At 37.3% G+C, this 18871-nt stretch overlaps 1 long non-coding RNA gene across 3 annotated transcripts in view; it reads left to right on the top strand.

The window, feature by feature from the left end:
- Positions 1-18871, top strand: part of LOC105370777 (uncharacterized) — a 556255-nt gene that overhangs the window by 462806 nt on the left and 74578 nt on the right. Inside the window, exon 5 of one of the 3 annotated variants that reach the window (XR_007064586.1) lies at positions 15971-18160. The exons of the other annotated variants lie outside the window; for them this stretch is intronic. This is a non-coding gene — a long non-coding RNA (uncharacterized LOC105370777). Of the gene's footprint in view, positions 1-15970; positions 18161-18871 lie in introns of those variants that run through there. 3 annotated transcript variants of the gene reach the window in all.

Below are 18871 nucleotides of genomic sequence, written 5' to 3'. Positions count from 1 at the left end.
AATGTATTAATAACAAACAGCATATAATGTATCCATTTATGTATGTATAAGTTTATTATAAATTATACTGATATAAAGCATCTATAACATGTAATTTACAAATAAGAATGAAATAGACTACGTAATAATCTTTATTGTAAATCTTTATTGCAAATTTAACATTTGATCTCACTGAATTTTTTTTATTTTTGCCATTTTTTTTTTTTCTTTTTTGAGACAGAGTTTCACTCTTGTTGCCCAGGCTGGAGTGCAATGGCACGATCTTGGCTCACTGCACCCTCTGCCTCCTGGGTTCAAGCGATTCTCCTGCCTCAGCCTCCTGAGTACCTGGGATTACAGGCATCTGCCACCATGCCAGCCTAATTTTTTTTTTTTGTATTTTTAGTAGAGACGGGGTTTCACCATGTTGGCCAGGCTGGTCGTGAACTCCTGACCTCAGGTGATCCACCTGCCTTGGCCTCCCAAAGTGCTGGGATTACAGGCATGAGCTACCGCGACCTGCCCATTATTTTTGCCAAATTATTTTATCTATAGCCAATCCATAGTTGCACAGCAACCTTATTTTGACAATGGAGGTGCATCCTAATGTGCTATATTGCTTCCAAAAAAAAAAGTTTTATTAAATCGAATACATTATGTATTATTAAATAATTTCTCACTTTTTCATTAAAATTTTAAAATGAATCATTAATGAATTTAACGAATCATTAATGAATGTTCATTCATTAAACTGAATCTTCTTTCAGCCTCACTATTATGCATTATAATAGTGGATAATGCATATATATATAGAGAGAGAGAGAGAGAGAGTAGGAACTTCACTTGTCCTTCATGACATGAAAAACTTTTTTGCTGAATTGGATATTAATTTTCAAATATTTGAAGACTATTTCTTCAAATTTGTGTGCTATTAACAATGTAAATGGCTAGACTTGACACACTTAAGATTACTATGCATTAACATTTTATATATTTTTCATAATCTAGACAGTCAAGTAAACAATAAATCAAGCCCAGATTTTGAGGCATTTGCTGACTTCCATAGTGTAAATACTCCCACTGTGGCCAGTTTCGAGGTACCAATATGACATTATTAAACACGGAATTGGTAAGAGATGTGTGGTAGCACTCCATTGTATAGTATTTCCACCATACAGATGCAATCGGTGTGAATACCCACAAGAACATAGATACTACAAACTGTGGTAATTAGAAAGTAGCTTTGTTCTTATTTAATTGAAAGTGTATACAGTTTAATTTTAATAATGACTGTGTTTAAAAATTGGCTTGCAAATTCCTGAAAACTTAGCAATCAGCTCTCATGAAGCAGCATAAGCCTGCTACAGCATATCACCACATTATTGTAATGTCTCCTTTTTCGTTCCTGATGTTGGTAATTAACATGCATGCTCCCTTTTCATTTTTTTAAATCAATTTCACCATGAGTTTATTAGTTTCACAAGGCTTTGTAAGATAAATATTTTTCCTTTGTTGATGGTCTCTATTGTATGTAGTTCATTAATTTCTGTTCACCTTTATTTCCTTTCCTCTGCATTTACCTTGTTTTTAATTTGCTGTTCTTTAAGTTCTAGAGATGAAGGCTTAGGTCACTAAAATTTAGCATTTTCTTTTATAATATTTGTATTAAAGCCTATAAATTACCTTCTAAGAGTGTGTTAGTTGTATTTCACTTGAAAAAGCTACTTTTTCAAGGTTTTATAACGTCTTTAATGTTTAAAACTTTATTCGGGGCATACTTTACATATAATAAACTGTACATTTTAACAAGTACAATGTGATACATTTTGACATACACCTGTGAAACTATCACAGTCATGTACAAGGTTTTTGTGGACCATTGCTCTTGAGTAATTTCCTAGGAATGAAATAACCAGGTCATATGACAACTGTATGCTTAACTTTTTAAGAAACTGCCAAACTCTTTGCCAACATAGTTTTACTATTTTATGATCTAACCGGTAATTTATTTGGTTCTCAGTCTCATCAAAATTTCGTATGGTCAGTCTTTAATTTTAGCAATTTCAATAGCTATTTAATAGCATTTTATTTAGACTTAATTTGCATTTTCCGATATTTTATTCTTTTTTATTGCTGAGTAGCATTCTATCATATGGATATGCCACTGTTCATTTATCCATCACCCACTGAAGGACATTTGATTTGTGTCCAGTTTAAAGCAATTACGTATAATTTTCTATAACTGCTATAAACATTTACTTACAATTTTTGTGAACCTAAGTTTTTATTTTTCTTGGATAAATACCTAGGAGTGCAATTAAAGGGTCGTATGGTAAATGTACATTTAACATTATAATAAATTACCAAACTATTTTCAGAGTGGCTGTATTCCACTTGCCTATGTAGCATACTACGTTTATAGTAGGTTTCTTACAGGCAACATATGGTTGTGTCTTTTTTTTTTTTTTCACTCCAACGTAACAGTTGCTGCCTTTCCATAGGGGTGTTTAAACCATTTGCATTTAATGTGATTATTGAGAAATTTGGATTTAATTTACCATGTTGCTGTCTGTTTTCTGTCTTCTTTTGGATTAATTGAATAGTTTTATATTCTCTTTCCATTGTTGGCTTTGGCTACAACTTTTATTTTGGCCATTGCTTTAGGGGTTATAGTACACATCTTTAACTTATCAGAGTCTACATTATACAATTTCACGCATAATATAAGAACCTACAACACTATATGTTTCACACAGTGCATAAGGGTGCACCAGGTTAATTTCTGTGCCATAGGATTTCCCGCAGTGTTGTTCAATGGCTATGTCAGTACAATTTTACTCTTTTTTAAAAATTATTTGTTGTAGAGACAGGGTCTTGCTATCTTGCCCGGGCTGGTCTCAAACTCCTGACCTCAAGGGATCCTCTCTCCTTGGCTACTCAAAGTGCTGGGATTGCAGGTGTGAGCTATCATGCCTTGCCTAATTTCACTCTTAAATTATGTTTGTTTGAGTTTAATCTATAATACAAATTTTGATTATGTTTAACATTATTTTCCCTAATACCAGTTTGAAGTCTACTTAAGTTAGACAGCCCTACCATAAAGCAATTGGTATCAAGTTTCTCCTGAACTAGGTATGGTTTTGAGAAAACATGAGAACTCTAAAAAGTAAATGATAAAAAAGGTAACTAGCTGATATCAGGTTAAAATTTAAGTTATAATATTTTACAAGTAATAAAACAAGATTTTCTCTTTTCCAATGTAGAAGGGTAAGGAAGCCTTTACTATGTAATCTCAGAGAGTTTATAAAAAGAGTTTATAGTTTTCTATAAAATGTATGTATATATTTTTATAACTTTATTAGTCGGAAAGTATTTTAAAAATAAGAATCTTAGCTACACTGCCAAGAACAATGGCAAATAGATTAAACAGATATTTATTGAATGGCTATTCTATGCTAGGCATTGCTTGGCTCTTGGGTACATTCTTTAAAAAATTTTATTTTCCTTAATTATTCAAAACCAACAAACTATTTCAAAACAGCAGACTGTTTTATGCTCTTAATTTTGGATGGTTTAATTTCACATTCTACATATATTTAAAACTTTTAAAATAATGTATTCAATTCAATGACAGATATTTTTCTTTTATTTTTGGTTGATGTATAATCATTTTGTATATTTAAGGGACAGAGTGTGATATTTTGCTACACGTATACAATGTGTAATGATTAAATCAAAGTAGTTAGCGTATTCGTCATCTCAAACGTATTATTTCTTTATTATTGTGAATATTCAAAATCCTCTATTCTAGCTTTTTGAAAATATACAATAAATAATGGTTAACCATATTTATCATGCAGTGCTATAGAACACTAGAATTTATTTCTCTCATCTAGCCGTAATTTGTATCCATTTACCAACCTCTCCCTATCCGGTCCTCCCTCCTATCCTTCCCAGCCTCCAGTAACCACAATCCTACTGTCTACTTCTATGAGCTCCACTTTTTAAAGTTTCTACATATGAGTAAGAACATATGGTATTTCTCTTTGTATGCCTGACTTATTTCACTAAACATAATGTCCTTCAGGCTCGAGTGATAGACTTTTCTCTATCATCCTAACTGTTCAGCATCAAGTTTTTAAAAATTGATGGATTTTGACAGAATTCCTGACTTCCAGCCAATTTTAATGCTACATAGATATTACAAGAACATAAATATATGAATAATAAAATGTAAAAACTTTTTATTTGGAATCTGTAAGCCAAACTTACAAAGTTACCTACTGTAATTGAACCTGAGATAGAACCCCATTTATAAATACTACCATGTGTATAATTGTTCAGTTTTAATAAGGTGAGTGGAGTTTTTCTGCTTCATTTCAAATTAAACCCAAAGTATTTATTTTGTCTACTGAATATATTTTATTTGTATGTTCAAATATTTCATTTCTTTTTATTGCTGAGTAGCGTTCTATCGTATGGATATACCACTGTTCATTTATTCATCACCTACTGAAGGACATTTGATTTATCATTAAATATAATACTGAGTTTCCTCTCTATATTGAACTAGGTACAGTTTTGAGAAACGTTCCAGAAATGCCTATTTCTGAAAGGGAAATATTGTGAGACAAAATAAAATTTTTAGGCAAGTGTAGTAAATGCCATGTAGTAAAGTTTCCATCAAAATATTTTCATGGGTACTGAAGGAAATATTATGAGCCAGTTCTTAAGCATATTTTTGGGGAAGTGCTTAAAAGGTCTGAGAATGCTAAGGATGCTCCAGAAAGTACAAGTCTATTTTTCTATGTTTTAGGTACAAACCAACTGTCAAAATTACCTTGACTTTTAAGAGTTGAGAAAAACACATTTTAATAATCCTTAAAGCAAGTCATTTCTTGCAAAATTATTATTGCTTTTAAAAAGTTGATCTTTTTTTTTTTTTTTTTTTTGAGACAGGGTCTTGCTTTGTCACCCAGGCTGAAGTGCACTGGTGTGATCATAGCTCACTGTAACCTTGAACTCCTGGGCTTAAACAGTCCTTCCACCTCAGCCTCCCAAGTAGCTCCCATGTACCACCATGTCTGGCTATTTTTTTTTTTTTTTTTTTTTGGAGAGACAGACATGGTATTTACTAACACTTGCCTAAAATTCTTATTTTGTCTCATAATAGATCCCTTTCAGAAATAGGCATTTCTGGAGAATTATAGAGAGAAAACTTAGTATTATATTTAATGACAAATCAAATGTCCTTCAGTGGGTGATGAATAAATGAACAGTAGTATATCCGTATGATAGAATGCTACTCAGAAATAAAAAGAAACAAAATATTGGAAAATGAAATTAAATATATTGAGTAGGCAAAATAAATACTTTGGGCATACTACATTGCCCAGGCTGGTCTTGAACTCCTAGGCTCAAGCAATCTCCTGCCTCAGCTTCCCAAAGTGCAGGGATTACAGGCATGAGTCACCACGCCCAGCCAAAAAGTTGATTTTAATTAATTTTTTTCTTTTTTTTTGAGATGGAGTCTCACTCTGTCACCCGGGCTAGAGTGCAGTGGTGACATCTTGGCTCACTGCAACCTTTGCCTCCCGGGTTCAAGCGATTCTCATGCCTCAGCCTCCTGAGTAGCTGGGATTACAGGCATGTGCTCCATGCCTGGCTAATTTTTTTTTTTTTAATTTTTTAGTAGAGATGGGGTTTCACCATGTAGGCCAGGCTGGTCTCGAACTCCTGAGCTCAGGTGATCCACCCGCTCAGCCTCCCAAAGCGCTGGGAGTACAGGTGTGAGCCACCACGACTGGCCAAAAGTTGATATTTTTAACATAGAACTTTGTTAGTCACACTAGAGGACTGTTCTAAAGGGTTTTGATAACAGAGTTTGGTAAGTGAACCCTCAAAAATTGTACCCGGATTTGTTTTAAAGGAAACATAATTAACCAAAGAAGTTAGACTGTAGCTGGGAAGTTCTACAACTTACATATCTAAAACAGGTTGAAAACAAATGGGAAGGTGTAAAACATTCTCGCCAAAGGGTTAAGATCAATCGTAAATATCACACCAGACCAAAGAATAATGGAATCATGTATTGTCTGCAGACATGCATCTCTGTGCAGTAAGAGTTTGATCCTAAGGTTATTAGTGAGTTAAGATTTAGCCCCTGAAATGGACTCCAGGTAAGGCAGTTCATGATTGTTCATTTAACATGCCAAATCAGTGACTAAACTACACAATAATTTGATTGATAAGTGCTGTTACTAAGACGAGTGTCAAAGGTAGGCTTAGTTCAAGGTACGCCAAGTTAAGACTGAGTCTCTCATCACAGGATTATGAAACGTAAGGCCAGACCCTGCTTAGTGAGCTGGTCTACTGTACCTTTCAGAGGTAGATTACCTTTTCCAAGCTGTCAGAATCCATTTCCAAATACCATCTGCTGGGAGGCCAAAGGAAGTAGAAAAATCAGTCCCTTGCTCTTAAAGTGATTAAAATCTAAGAGACAGAAGCTATACAATAAGACCTATTATCCTTCGTGGTTGGTAAGCTGTAGACAATCAAATACTGCTGTCAGGGGTCCACGTATGTTTAAAGAATTAGAAATAAAAACAGTTTTAACTCTACATGTCGTAATATATAGTCATAAAATATGTTTGTAATGATTCAAAAAGTACGTTAGTATTTTACAGTGCCTCAAAGTCACCATTGCAACCAATTGTCCTCATATTTACTGATCAGTTCAGACCTGCTAAGGGACCTTTATAAGCTCAGTAGAGACCAAGCCCCTGTAAAAAAGGAGCAGACTCTATGAAGGGAATTTCTCCACCTGGATTTTCCCTAATCCACCCTCAGGCAGAAGCCCCTGTCTTTGGTGGTCCCCAGTTACGACTCCCTTATACTCTGATCTGTTTTCTATGCGTTTATGTCCTGGGACCCCAGAATGAAATCATTTGTTGGGAAAGTTTTGTTATTTTCCCAGTCTTGGTCTGTTGCAGACGCAGTCTTAAGTTCTCCCTTTGTTGTATACCTAAAGCCCACAGCAAGTCTTTGTTCATTTCTTTGCTGATTCCTGAGAAATGGAGGTTATTATCCTAGGAGTAGATATCATATGCTACTACTGCCATTTCCAGGCTTTAACGAAGGAGGGCCTTCCTGTGGCTCTAGGGTAAAAGACAGACTTATAAACATGAGAAGGAGCTGGGGAGCACTGGGTAACCCAAACAAAACCAGCAAGCCCATCCCCCAGCCAGGGCCTTCCCCCCTTGTATGTGTATGGCAGTTTGAGCCTTGTACTTGAAAGGGGCCCAGGGTGCAGAATGACCATAACCAGCATCACTGTTGAGAAAGGTTTGCTGCATATTCCAAATATGCTACTAATATAGAGTTGTCATCGTATCCAGAAGGTGAAATAATCATCTGGAATTTCAGAGAAAATCCATTGAAAAACGCAGAGTATGAGTATGAACAAATCACAAAAGAATATGCAAAGGCTAAGACGTAGTTTCTTGAAAAAGTATACTTCGACAGCAATAAAAATACCTAATAAAGCAAATTATAATTTTCTTCCTATAGCAGTAAATAATTTTTAAAAATAATCCTTTCTTGCAATGATATGAGAAATAAGAATTGCTAGTATAAATGTGAATTGGTAAACTATTTCTAAAAACCAAATATGTGATTTTTGTCAAGAGCATTAAAATGTTTTTAATTTATGATGCAATAAATCTATTAAGGAGATCCATGCTGGTGAAGTAATCAGAGATAGTGACAAATATTTATACAAAAAAGTCCTTTTCTGCATTATTATAGAGAAAAAGAAATAGCCTAAAGGAAAATGAGTATTAATAAAAAGAAATGTTACTCAGCCATGTACACATTAAAAAAAAACAGAGACATGAGGAAATGTTCATAATCTAATATTTGGTTTAAAAAAAGCGTGTGTGTGTGTGTGTGTGTATGTGTGTATGTAACAGAAAGAATACACACACACACACCCCCTACACATTCTTTGTGTGTAGCATACTAGCATAGCATTACTATTTCTCATTTTAAAGGTTGTCAGTTACCTGCACAGTGAAATAGCACATGGGTAAAATTTAATTTTAAATAAAATTATGGCATGTTTATATAATGCATTTTGTGAATCTTTGTAACATGTTTTCATCAAATATTTTCATAAAGTCAATACTCAATTACCTTATACTTTTTTCTAGGGCCTAATGTGAGGTTAGTTGTATGTAATTGCCACTCTTTTGAAACACCAGGGGAGAGACAGAAAAAAAAGGAGAAACAATACTGGATTGTTAGTTTTATTAGTCTGTGATGCTGCTCTGCCCAATGGCAATCTCATTGTTGCACTGCTCCCTAACCTCTCTAGGATTAAGAGTCTGGGGAATAACTGCTTCCTTTTTGTCAAAATAAAAATGTGAAAACTTACTTTGTAAACTGAACAAAAAAACTTAAATGAGATAATAAAGAGTAACCTCAGAACATATCAATCTAAATATGGAAAGATAATAAGGTGAAAAATGAGAGAATGTATGCATCCATTGCCTGGAAAAAAATGAACATCAAAATAACTACTATTCCCAGAGGTCAGACAACTTAATGCCTTTGAGGTTATATGGTCTGGGCTCTATTCCCAGCTCTGTGACTTACCAACTGTGTTGTTTGGGACAAACTGCTTTATGCTTTTTTTATTTTTTTATTTTTTTGAGACGGAGTCTTGCTCTGTCTCCCAGGCTGGAGTGCAGTGGCGTGACCTCGGCTTACTGCAAACTACACCTCGTGGGTTCAAGTGATTCTCCTGCCTCAGCCTCCCGAGTAGCTGGGACTACAGGTGCCCGCCACCATGCCCAGCTAGGTTTTGTATTAGTAGAGACAGGATTTCACCGTGTTAGCCAGGATGGTCTTGATCTCCTCGCCTCGTGATCTGCCCACCTTGGCCTCCCAAAGTACTGGGATTACAGGCGTGAGCCACCGTGCCTGGCCTGCTTTATGCTTTTTAAGCTTATTTTTATTTTGTAGGATTCTGCTTAGCTCTGGAGGCTTTGGTAGTATTCAATCAGATTATATATACTGTATAAAGCATTTACTTTCCCAGCAAATCAGAACAATTAGAGGAAAGGGGGAAGGGTGTTGATGCTGATAGTAGAAATGGTGGTGGTGTCTGTGATCATTAAGGTGAATGATTTATATTCAGACATGTAAAATGACTTCTCCCCTCCTTTATGTCTCATCTATGGCACACCATTTAATTATCAGTTTGTCTTAAACAGCAAAAATTGACCAGAGAACAGGATTATAGTGAAGACATAATCAAGGTATAAAATGTTTTATGGGAAAATATTATTTCATCTTAGAGAAAAATACAAGTATTATTTTAGAAACTGAAATTTATAAATCTTCACCTGTCATTAATAAAGTGGCATTGTATATCAAGAGTGTTAATATCATATTTAAAAATTAAAAATGTAGCTGAATTTAAATAATTTAACTTGGTTACATTAGTGGAGTCTAATTGATGGAGTCTAATATTAATAGGGAGAGGCAAGGTAAGGAGAGAAGAGGTTAGGAAACACTCCAAAAGTTGTTATGTCTTTCTGGGTTATGGAGGAGATAGCTTCTTTCATTTTTCACATTTCTTTTTGTTGTATTTGATATTTTCAATAATATATTTATGACTATGCATTGCTATGGCAATCAGAAAAAAATTAAAATTATCTCATGTTTTAGTATGTTTCCACATAAGGTATGTTTCTATAGGCCTCAGAAGGTAGCTTCCGGATGAACCGAATATACTTTAGCAGTCACCAGACACATGAACTCAGCCCCCTTCACCAACCCTGATCCCAAACCATCACTTTCAAATCCTCTCTGCACCATAATTTTCCTTGTAAGGAAGGAAACCAGGGGCATTAAGTGAGTTGTTGGGCTGCATTGTGAGTGGAATTGCACCCCCTCCTCCTTCCTCCCCTCCCCGCAAAATGCCCACATCTCACCTACTGGAACCCATGAATATGACCTTATTTGGAAAAGGGATCTTTGCAGATGTGATTAAGTTAAAGATCTTAAGATGAGATCATCCTGGATTACCTGGCCCACCTAAATTCAATAGCCAGTATCTTTATATATTGTCTTTATAAGCCACAAAAGAGAAGCCACAGGGGAGGAAAAGAAAGTCACGTGAAGGGGGAACAGAGGTCAGAGTGATTAGGCGCAATCCAAGGAATTCCAAGAGCCACCAGAAGCTGGAAGATGCAAGGAAGGATTTTCTCCTGGAGTCTTTGGAGGAAGAGCAATTTTGCCCACACCTTATTTTTAGACTTCTGGCCTCTAGAACTGCACTGTGACAGAAACCATTTTGTTTGAAGCCACTCAATTTGCGGTGTTTTTTTACAGCAGCCCCAGAAAACTCACACAGGCAATGGGGAAATTAACCCCCTATGAAATAACTTCTCTAAGTCAGCACCAAGTGAGCCCACTGCACCCTTTCCTTTGTAGAGCTACTGTCTCCTCAGAGCTCCTGCTTTCCAGGGCAGACTGCAAATCAGCACCTCCTTTTTCCATATACTTCTTCCCTTGTTTCCTGATCTTGGAAACAGTGGTTCTCAACCTGAGGTCACGGATGCCTAGGGACAGAATGCTATGGCAGCCATGTGTCTCTAGACTCCTCTAGGCACTCTTCCATCTCCAGTGTATGAGTTAGAGTTTTAGCAATATTTGTAGATGAAGTTAGTGAAATAAAATGCTTATTTCAAATGGTTCTCAAGTTTGGGTGGATATGTATGTTCTCAAGAGATGTTAAACAAGTGTTATCTTAAGGGAAATGGGGTACCCAAAACTTTTTGACAAATAAAAGAGGTCTTTACGTTTAAAAGATTGAGGCCACTGCTTTAAAATGAACAGTAACATCATTTATCCAGTGTAGAAAGAACCATTCTCTCTTCTGAACCAACTAGCAACTACTGCACATTGGTATTCAAATTTGCCATTAATTCTAGCATTGAAGGATGTGTGGATAAATGAATGACTTTCAAAACCCTGTGATTACTTGAAGAGACTGTCATTTGTGTATTAGGTCCCAGAGAATACAAAAATCAATGTGCAATTGAATGGATTAAACATTTTAAAAAATTGATCAATTAAGGAGACAATAGTATCTCTGGATGTATCTTGGATCACTTTTTAGCTTTGGGAATCTTGGGTAAGCTACCTAATCCCATTCAGCTTTGGCTTCCTAAACTGTAAAGTGAGCTCTTCCATGGAGCTGTAGAGAAGACTAAGTCAGAGTGTGAAGTGAATGGCCCATGAGGGGGCCCAATGCACAAGAGATACGGTAACTTCAGCCTGTCCCTTTGCTCTCTATATGGGGTGCATCCATGAGTTAGTGAGTTTGCAATCACTAGAGTAACTCTAGGGAGAAATACTAACTCTCCCAGCCCAGACATGAGTTATTTGGTTCTTTTTGGTACTCTACAACAGGCAATTTACCTGAAAGTTTGTTGTTTTCTTATTGGTTTTTAGGAGAATGCCCACAATCACATTAAAGTTATTGGCTCATATATGATTAAAAAGAAATCTCTGACTTTCTGTAAACAGACCTTTTGTTTCTCTAGTACTTGAAAAGCAATTACTATATCGTTTTATAAATAAACCTATGTGCTCAAATTTACACAAGCATCTTGGTTTCAGAGGTAAAATAAATGACTAAATATAAAGCCAATGGGAAGATGGGGTGGAGTGAGGCATTTTCTAATGCAATCTGTTGAACCTAAGGGTGGGTTATATGCTTATGGTCTTTATTCAGTGAGACAAACCTGGTCTGTTTATTAGGTTTATTTAAGTAATTAGTTGTAAAATGCAGTTGGAATTTTTTAAGCCTATGGTAGTTATTCTTTATGGGTCTGGGCCCTGAACAAAAATATTTCTTTAAATTTTTTATTTGAAAATTGCTTTCTTCAGGTGAGCTCTGGCAAACACTGTAAAAATGTATAAATCTGGAACACTAGGAAGTATAGAAAAGGGAAGGAAATTACCTCACCTTGGCAGGAGGCACAATGTTACTTTCTTTAAATAAAATGCATCCTCTGTCCTGAATCACCCAACACAGCCCAAACGAGCATTTCATTGTATTCTGTCACTTAGCCCTGCCAGCCAGAGAAGGGAGCTGACACTGTGTACCTGAGGGCACAAAGAGCCTATGTGTCCCCACTCCGGTTTTCACATTCCTTAGAGGGCTTGAGGGGAGAGCTGCTTTGTTATTTTTCTCAAGTCCTGTCACAAATGGTCTTTGACAGAGATGCCCAGAAGGCCTGAGCTAGTACCGCTGGGGCTGGTGGGCACCAGAGGTACCCCACGCCCATGACGCAGGAGGTGGAAAGGGGCTCTTTCTGAAGGCACCAGTGATTGTCCCTGGCTCTGGCAAAGAAAAGTCATTTGTCAGGGGAAAAGCAAACATCCATGACTGAATGGAAAGGAAGTTATGACAGAAAGAAGGACCAGGCTTAGGAGAATACAAGGACAGGTCATAGATGTCTCTTGCCACCTCTGGCAAAGGGCTACAACAGTTTCCATAACTTTCCAGTCAGTCAGCCAGGTGGTAGATTTTGTAATGAGAGAACATTTTCCCCAAGCCTTTTTCCATGCATTTTCTCTATGATTCCAAAAAAGCCTGTGTCTCAGTGAGTACAGTGGTAAGGAATGTCATCCCTACATTAGTGCCACACTTGGTATATGCAGCACATCTTATCAAAGATTCCAATGATGATAATTCTGTACCCTTGCATTTCTACACATCATGACTACCACAATTCATTGTGGCATTTTGATAGTTAAGAATTAAGCTATTAAATATAAACTGTAAATATATGCCACAATCGGGCACCTGTAATCCTAGCTACTCAGGAGGCTGAGGCACAAGAATCGCTTGAACCCAGGAGGTGGAGTTTGCTGTGAGCTGAGATCATGCCACTGCACTCCAGCCTGGGCGACAGAGTGAGACTTTGTCTCGAAAAAAAAAATTATATATATGTGTGTGTGTGTGTGTGTGTGCCACAATTATTAGAGACCAGGTTTAGCATGACTGTTTTTTAATACAGCAAGTGACCCTGATGTCTCTTGAACTCCCCGTTTTAGCCCTAGAAGATTGTTAAGAGAAGCCAAATGTATTGCAGCCTTTGATAATGTGATTCAAAAAGCATCTATTTCACCAGTTATTCTCATATCAGCCTCCATAGCCACCAGTCTTTGCTCATCTCAGTGTCACTGGCACATGGCAAGGACAACTAAAGGTCACATGCATCCAGGCTAAGGCACACTTCAGAGAAACACAGGCAATTCTCTCCCTTATGAGGAAATGTGTATCATTTGTGTGAGTCTCTTCATAGGAATGAAGATCTCAAGGTGGTAAAATATGTATTTCCTTATTGATATTGAAGACTTCAGGGTCTTAAGAAATATTTCAAGGAAGGAGTTGTGATTAGAAAAGTTTCTAATGAGAGTCCCTGTGAATTTGACAAAAGGAAGTGATATTTGACAGTAAAGGTGATTAATGGAGCTGTGGAACAGAGGCCAATGAAATTCATTTCTTCCCTTTCCTCTGGAGAGTTAGTAATGAGGCCAGTGACTTTCTCCAGCTCTCAAACTGAAATTTTACTCTGTCAATCATTGACTTCTCTCCTAGTAAAAACAAAATAGAATACAGCTATTCAAATTCTTGTTACAAATATTCCATCAGCTCTTACAAGGGATTCAGAGCTGGATAATATATACCCCCCCTATATAATAGCAGAGTCATGAGAGCAGAACTAGTTAGTCTACAAACAGACCTTCTCTCACTTATTTTAAAAATCTGCTTTATAACACTTACCTTAGTGAAATTTGATACGAGGTAAAGAAAACAGAGATTATGTGTGAATTCATGTGAATGAATTATGAAACAGTAGTTGGAATGTTTAAGTGAAATTCTGAGTTAGTAATGATGAGGAGGGAAGTATAGAAATGAAAACAACAACAGATCTTTAAACAAATATCTAAGATGGAAAAGTATGAGGATCATTTGATCCAGAGCATCCAATATATACGGAGTAAAGTATAAAAGCATGAAATATAAGTAGATTGGAGCATATTGTAGATGATCTTGCATGTCTAAGGGTGAGTCAATTGTCTACTCAGTAGGCAATAGGAAATTATGAAAAGTTTTAAAAATAAAATGCCCTTTTGGAGTTTTACCACGTTGGCAGCCATGGTTTGGATTGGGGGAGGAAAGGCAATAGTCAGACATCCAATTTGAGGATTTTGGAAATAATCTAAGTGAGATATGATTAGGACTTAAATTAAGATGGCCACAATGGTAATAAAAAGGTAGGGACATGTGTGAGTGATTGTAGAATAATTGTCTCCTCTAATCTATGTCTTCCTTCACCCCTCTATATCTAAACATAACTGTAGTCTAAAGATAGAGAAGCCAAGGGATCCGTTGATGGGTCTTTAAAAATAAATATGAAAAGAGAGACGTGGAGGAAGCTAATTTCAATAGAAAATGCATAAGACGTTAATAAACATGTTAACCACTCAGATCCAGCTTGTCTTGAGCAATTGTGTATAACGTTTCCTTTGTAGACAATTTTGTTTAAGTAAAAAGTTGAGTCCATTTAAAGAAAAATCTTTAATAAATTAAAGAATATGGCAAAAACATCAAGTTGCTTAACAAATGACTGAAGTTTGAACAACACTGATTAGATGAACAGGATTGACTTTGCTAATGCCCTAAAATTATGTTGAGTTTTCCTGCACTGACTTGTGCAACGACCCACCTGACATCATTTGCCCGCATCTTCATATCTAACATGAGGCTGTCCAGGTATAGGAGGGTCTGTTACCCATTGCTTAAAAGAAAAACAAAACAGCAAACCAAAAAACCTGAAATGGTAGAGTAGCCAACACCAGCACTGTAGAATTCAAATAAGCATGAATTATATTTTTTGCTTTCATTATTCATGATTAAATTGTGTCACCCTAACAAAATCATCATCTCCCTAAGGCTAAGATAGCTGGAAACTATTGTGGATAAAGCATGGGTTCAGAATTGAGTCCTGGCTTCAAATCCGGGTTCTGTCACTGAGCATCTGTGTGAACTCCAGCAAATCTTCTGGCCACTTTGAGCCCTAAGGAGGATCATAATGCTGGCTCCATGGGGTAGCCTCCCTTAGAGGTTGACAGGGACCATATCTGGTCCTGTCTCCCAGCACTCGTGGGAGGCATGGCTCCTGCTTGCTCTCCAGCCCCATCTCCTCTGCCGGGCTGCTTTCTTACTGTGATCTCACTGTGATCCTTCCTCCCTGCTCTTCTCCCTGTCCCTCAAGGTCCCCTTTTCATCCCACCTTGGGACCTTGGTATTTGGTTCTCTTCTGCCTGGAATTCTCTTATTTCAGGTATCTTGCTTCCTCACATCAAATAATCTTCAGCTTAAACATAATCTCTCCAGGGGTGATTTGCCAGATGCCTTATCAAAAACCATTGCCATCACCACCAACAACCCTGTTTATCTCCTCTCCCATTTAAATTTTATTTATCATTTCCCAATTGCCATCTGAAATTGCATCAGGATTGCTATCAGAAATTGCCTTGCATTTGCTTTCTCGTTGTCTGTTCTCCCATAGAAGGGAAGGATTTTTTTCTCTCTAGTTCAGCACTCTATCATCAACACCTGGAACAGCATCTGATGCCTATTGGGTACTTGGTAAATACTTACTAAATATCATTATTATTAATAAATGAATAAAATGAAATAATTCTACAGAAATTTTGAAAAACCAATGTAGAATTTACTGAGTACTTACTAAGTACTAAGTGGAGAGAGATTCAAAGCCAATGTAAAAAAATAGTTTGCCCTAGGTGGGTCGTATAAGCATAAAAAATTCCCATTTGCTATTTTTCTTCCTTGTTTCCTGATTGGAAGTTATTAGTAGATCACTGTAGACTGTAATTACAGGGGAGAGCACAGAAGACATTAAGCAGATAGAGAAGCCTGGGAGGGCTTCAGCAAGAAGAAAGTGGAAAGGCACTGGAGGCTGGGCCCCAAGCTGGCAGTCAGTGTGTCTAAGGCACTGTTCAAGGTCCTCATGACAGATCCCATCAGAGCCACATGTGCCACATCTCTGCTCACTGCCCGATGCTAGCACAACCCCAGGTGAGAGGATGGGACGTAAGTCTTTTGTGCCTTCTGTTTTCCTCATGTCTCTAGTCGGGCTCTTTGGGAGAATGCATGTGAGCATGTGTGTTTCTTTTCCTTGGCTCCCAAGTCAAATCAGTCCACTCCTGGTACTTGGCAACCCAGCACGCTTCCTCCCACTAACGACAAGCCTGTCTGCAAAACAGAACAACATCTTTGAGATGGGGTGTTTATCTGGGCAGCACACAGCCTCTGCAGCCCACAGGGGCCCCTCCTTCAAAGGCATTGCTGAACAGGGCTCACCTGATGAAAGCCTGAACTGTGCATGCTTGACTTGATTTACGGGCAATGGCCAGCTCATTAGGCACACTGGCCTGAGGAAGCCAGCCAGCTGTGGGGACAAATGTTTTCGGAGCTCTGTGGTGCCCACAGGGCTGCTTGTAGCTGGGGGACAAGAGTACAGTGGGGACAGTGATAAGGAACTCTGGAATCCAAGCCTGGCTCAGGGAGCCTTAACTACCCACGAGATTGATATCTAGGGTGCAAAGGCTATAAAAATTAGATTAACTTAGCTCAGCTGTGCTCACTGAAGGATTAGGTTGCAGCTGGTGCTGAAACATTAGCAATCAGACCTCAGAGATGGGGAAAAGTGTCACGTTGGAAGGAAGGGAGTAAGATGAATCACCTCTCAGCATGCCTGCTCCCCAGGAAAATGATAGCTTATAAAGGTAGTCTTGCATTACAGATAATCCTATAGAACACCAGTAAGAAAGCAAGTTATGTGTTCCTTGAGATATGGCATTAGAAATTGGGATCACATCTTCTAATTCTGGGAAAGTCACCTGGGACAAACCGCTTTAAAAACATTCCCAACTTCCTCCATGAAATAAGACCAAACACTAAAAAATATTTCAGATAACCTGAAAAACAAGTCAACTCTGAATTCTAGTATTTTAAGATATTAGTTCCAATAATCCCAATTGTCCATTGATGATTTTTCTGTGGCCCTGGACCTTGGTCTCCCAAGTTCATCTCCTTAGAAAATATCTTCACCTGGAAGATTTTCTACAAAAATTCCTCACATTCCCAGTTTGCTGCTTAGGTGGAAAGTCTAGTAGACTTCACATTCCACATCACATACAGTACAAGAAGGACAACACGTTTCTCACCAGAAGCCCATTGCTTCATGTTAATTTTGAAAGGAACAGCTCTTAAGCATACTCTTCAGTAAACTGTCAACTCTTTTCACCTCTTTTGATAAAGCTTCTTTTAAAAGTTACCATTTACTGAACACTTACTATGTGCCAGGCACTGTGCTAATGCTTTATGTAACAAGGGGAATCATTATCCAAATTTATATGTGTTGTTCAAGAGTAATTATTAGTAAAGCTACTTACTTTCACAAAAGCATCTAGGTTTGGATTATAAATGCTTATGCTCAGCATATATATAATTAATTCACAGATTAGATGTACGCGTGTGTTATTATTAACTAGGTGCTCAACCAGTGGTGATATTGTGAACAACAATAAAGGTTCTGACTATAAAACTGAACATGGAATATAGAAGAAGCAAAGCCTAGATCAATAAAAGCCCACTTCTTACAATGTTTCTTATTCAGAATGTGAATGCCATTTGAGAGGTTAGGTTAAAGCTGACACAAAAGAGATCACTGGCTTTTTAAACTGAGAACTGTAGAGGGTTTACCTCAAGGAAGGCAGTTTGCTGGGGAGTGACACCTTGCATGATCGAATAAGGACTCACAGAAAATTGATGTCCGAGTTATCAGCCCTCACCCTGTCATGGACCAGTCCCATGATCCAAGGGAAATCATTTCATTTTTCTTTCAAGGTGCATATGTTGTTCTGTTTATTTTTTGCACAAGGAAACACTGGAAGTTTAACAAGGAACTGAAAGAAAAAGGTTATCTATGGAGTATTTTGGAATGAAGTGGAGGGGAAAGGGAATTATGTGAGATTTAGAAATCAATATATGCCTATTTTTTTATTTTTGTTTACTTTATGTATATCTTATTTATTTCAATAGGTCTTTGGGGAACAGGTGGTGTTTGGTTACATTTGTAAGTCTTGAGTGGTGATTTCTGAGATTTTGGTGCACCCATCACCGGAGAAGTGTACACTGTACCCAATGTGTAGTCTTTTATTCCTCAAACCCCTCCCACTTTTTCCCCAAGTCCCCAAAGTCCATTGGATCATTCTTATGCCTTTCCTCCTCATAGCTTAGCTACCACTTATGAATGAGTACATACAATGTTTGGTTTTCCATTCCTGAGTTACTTCACTTAAAATAATGGTGTCCAAGGTGTCCAATTCCATCCAGGTTGCTGTGAATGCCATCATTCTTTACTTTTTATGGATGAGTAGTATTCTATGGGATGTGTGTGTGTATATATATATATATACCATGTTTTCTCTATCCACTTGTTGATTGATGGGCATTTGGGCTAGTTCCATATTTTTGCAATTGCGAATTGTGCTGCTATAAATGTGTGTGCAAGTATCTTTTTCATATAATGACTTCTTCTCCTCTGGATAGATACCCAGGAGTGGGACTGCTGGATCAAATGGTAGACCTACTTTTAGTTCTTTAAGGAATCTCCATGCTGTTTTCCATAGTGGTTGTACTAGTTTACATTCCCACCAATAGTCCAGGTGTGGTGGCTCATGTCTGTAATCCCTACACTTTGGGAGTCCCAGACAG

This window comes from Homo sapiens, chromosome 15 (assembly GCF_000001405.40).
Source record: "Homo sapiens chromosome 15, GRCh38.p14 Primary Assembly".
Lineage (NCBI taxonomy): Eukaryota > Metazoa > Chordata > Mammalia > Primates > Hominidae > Homo > Homo sapiens.
Note: the sequence above shows the minus strand (reverse complement) of the source record. Positions and strands in the feature narration are given on the sequence as shown.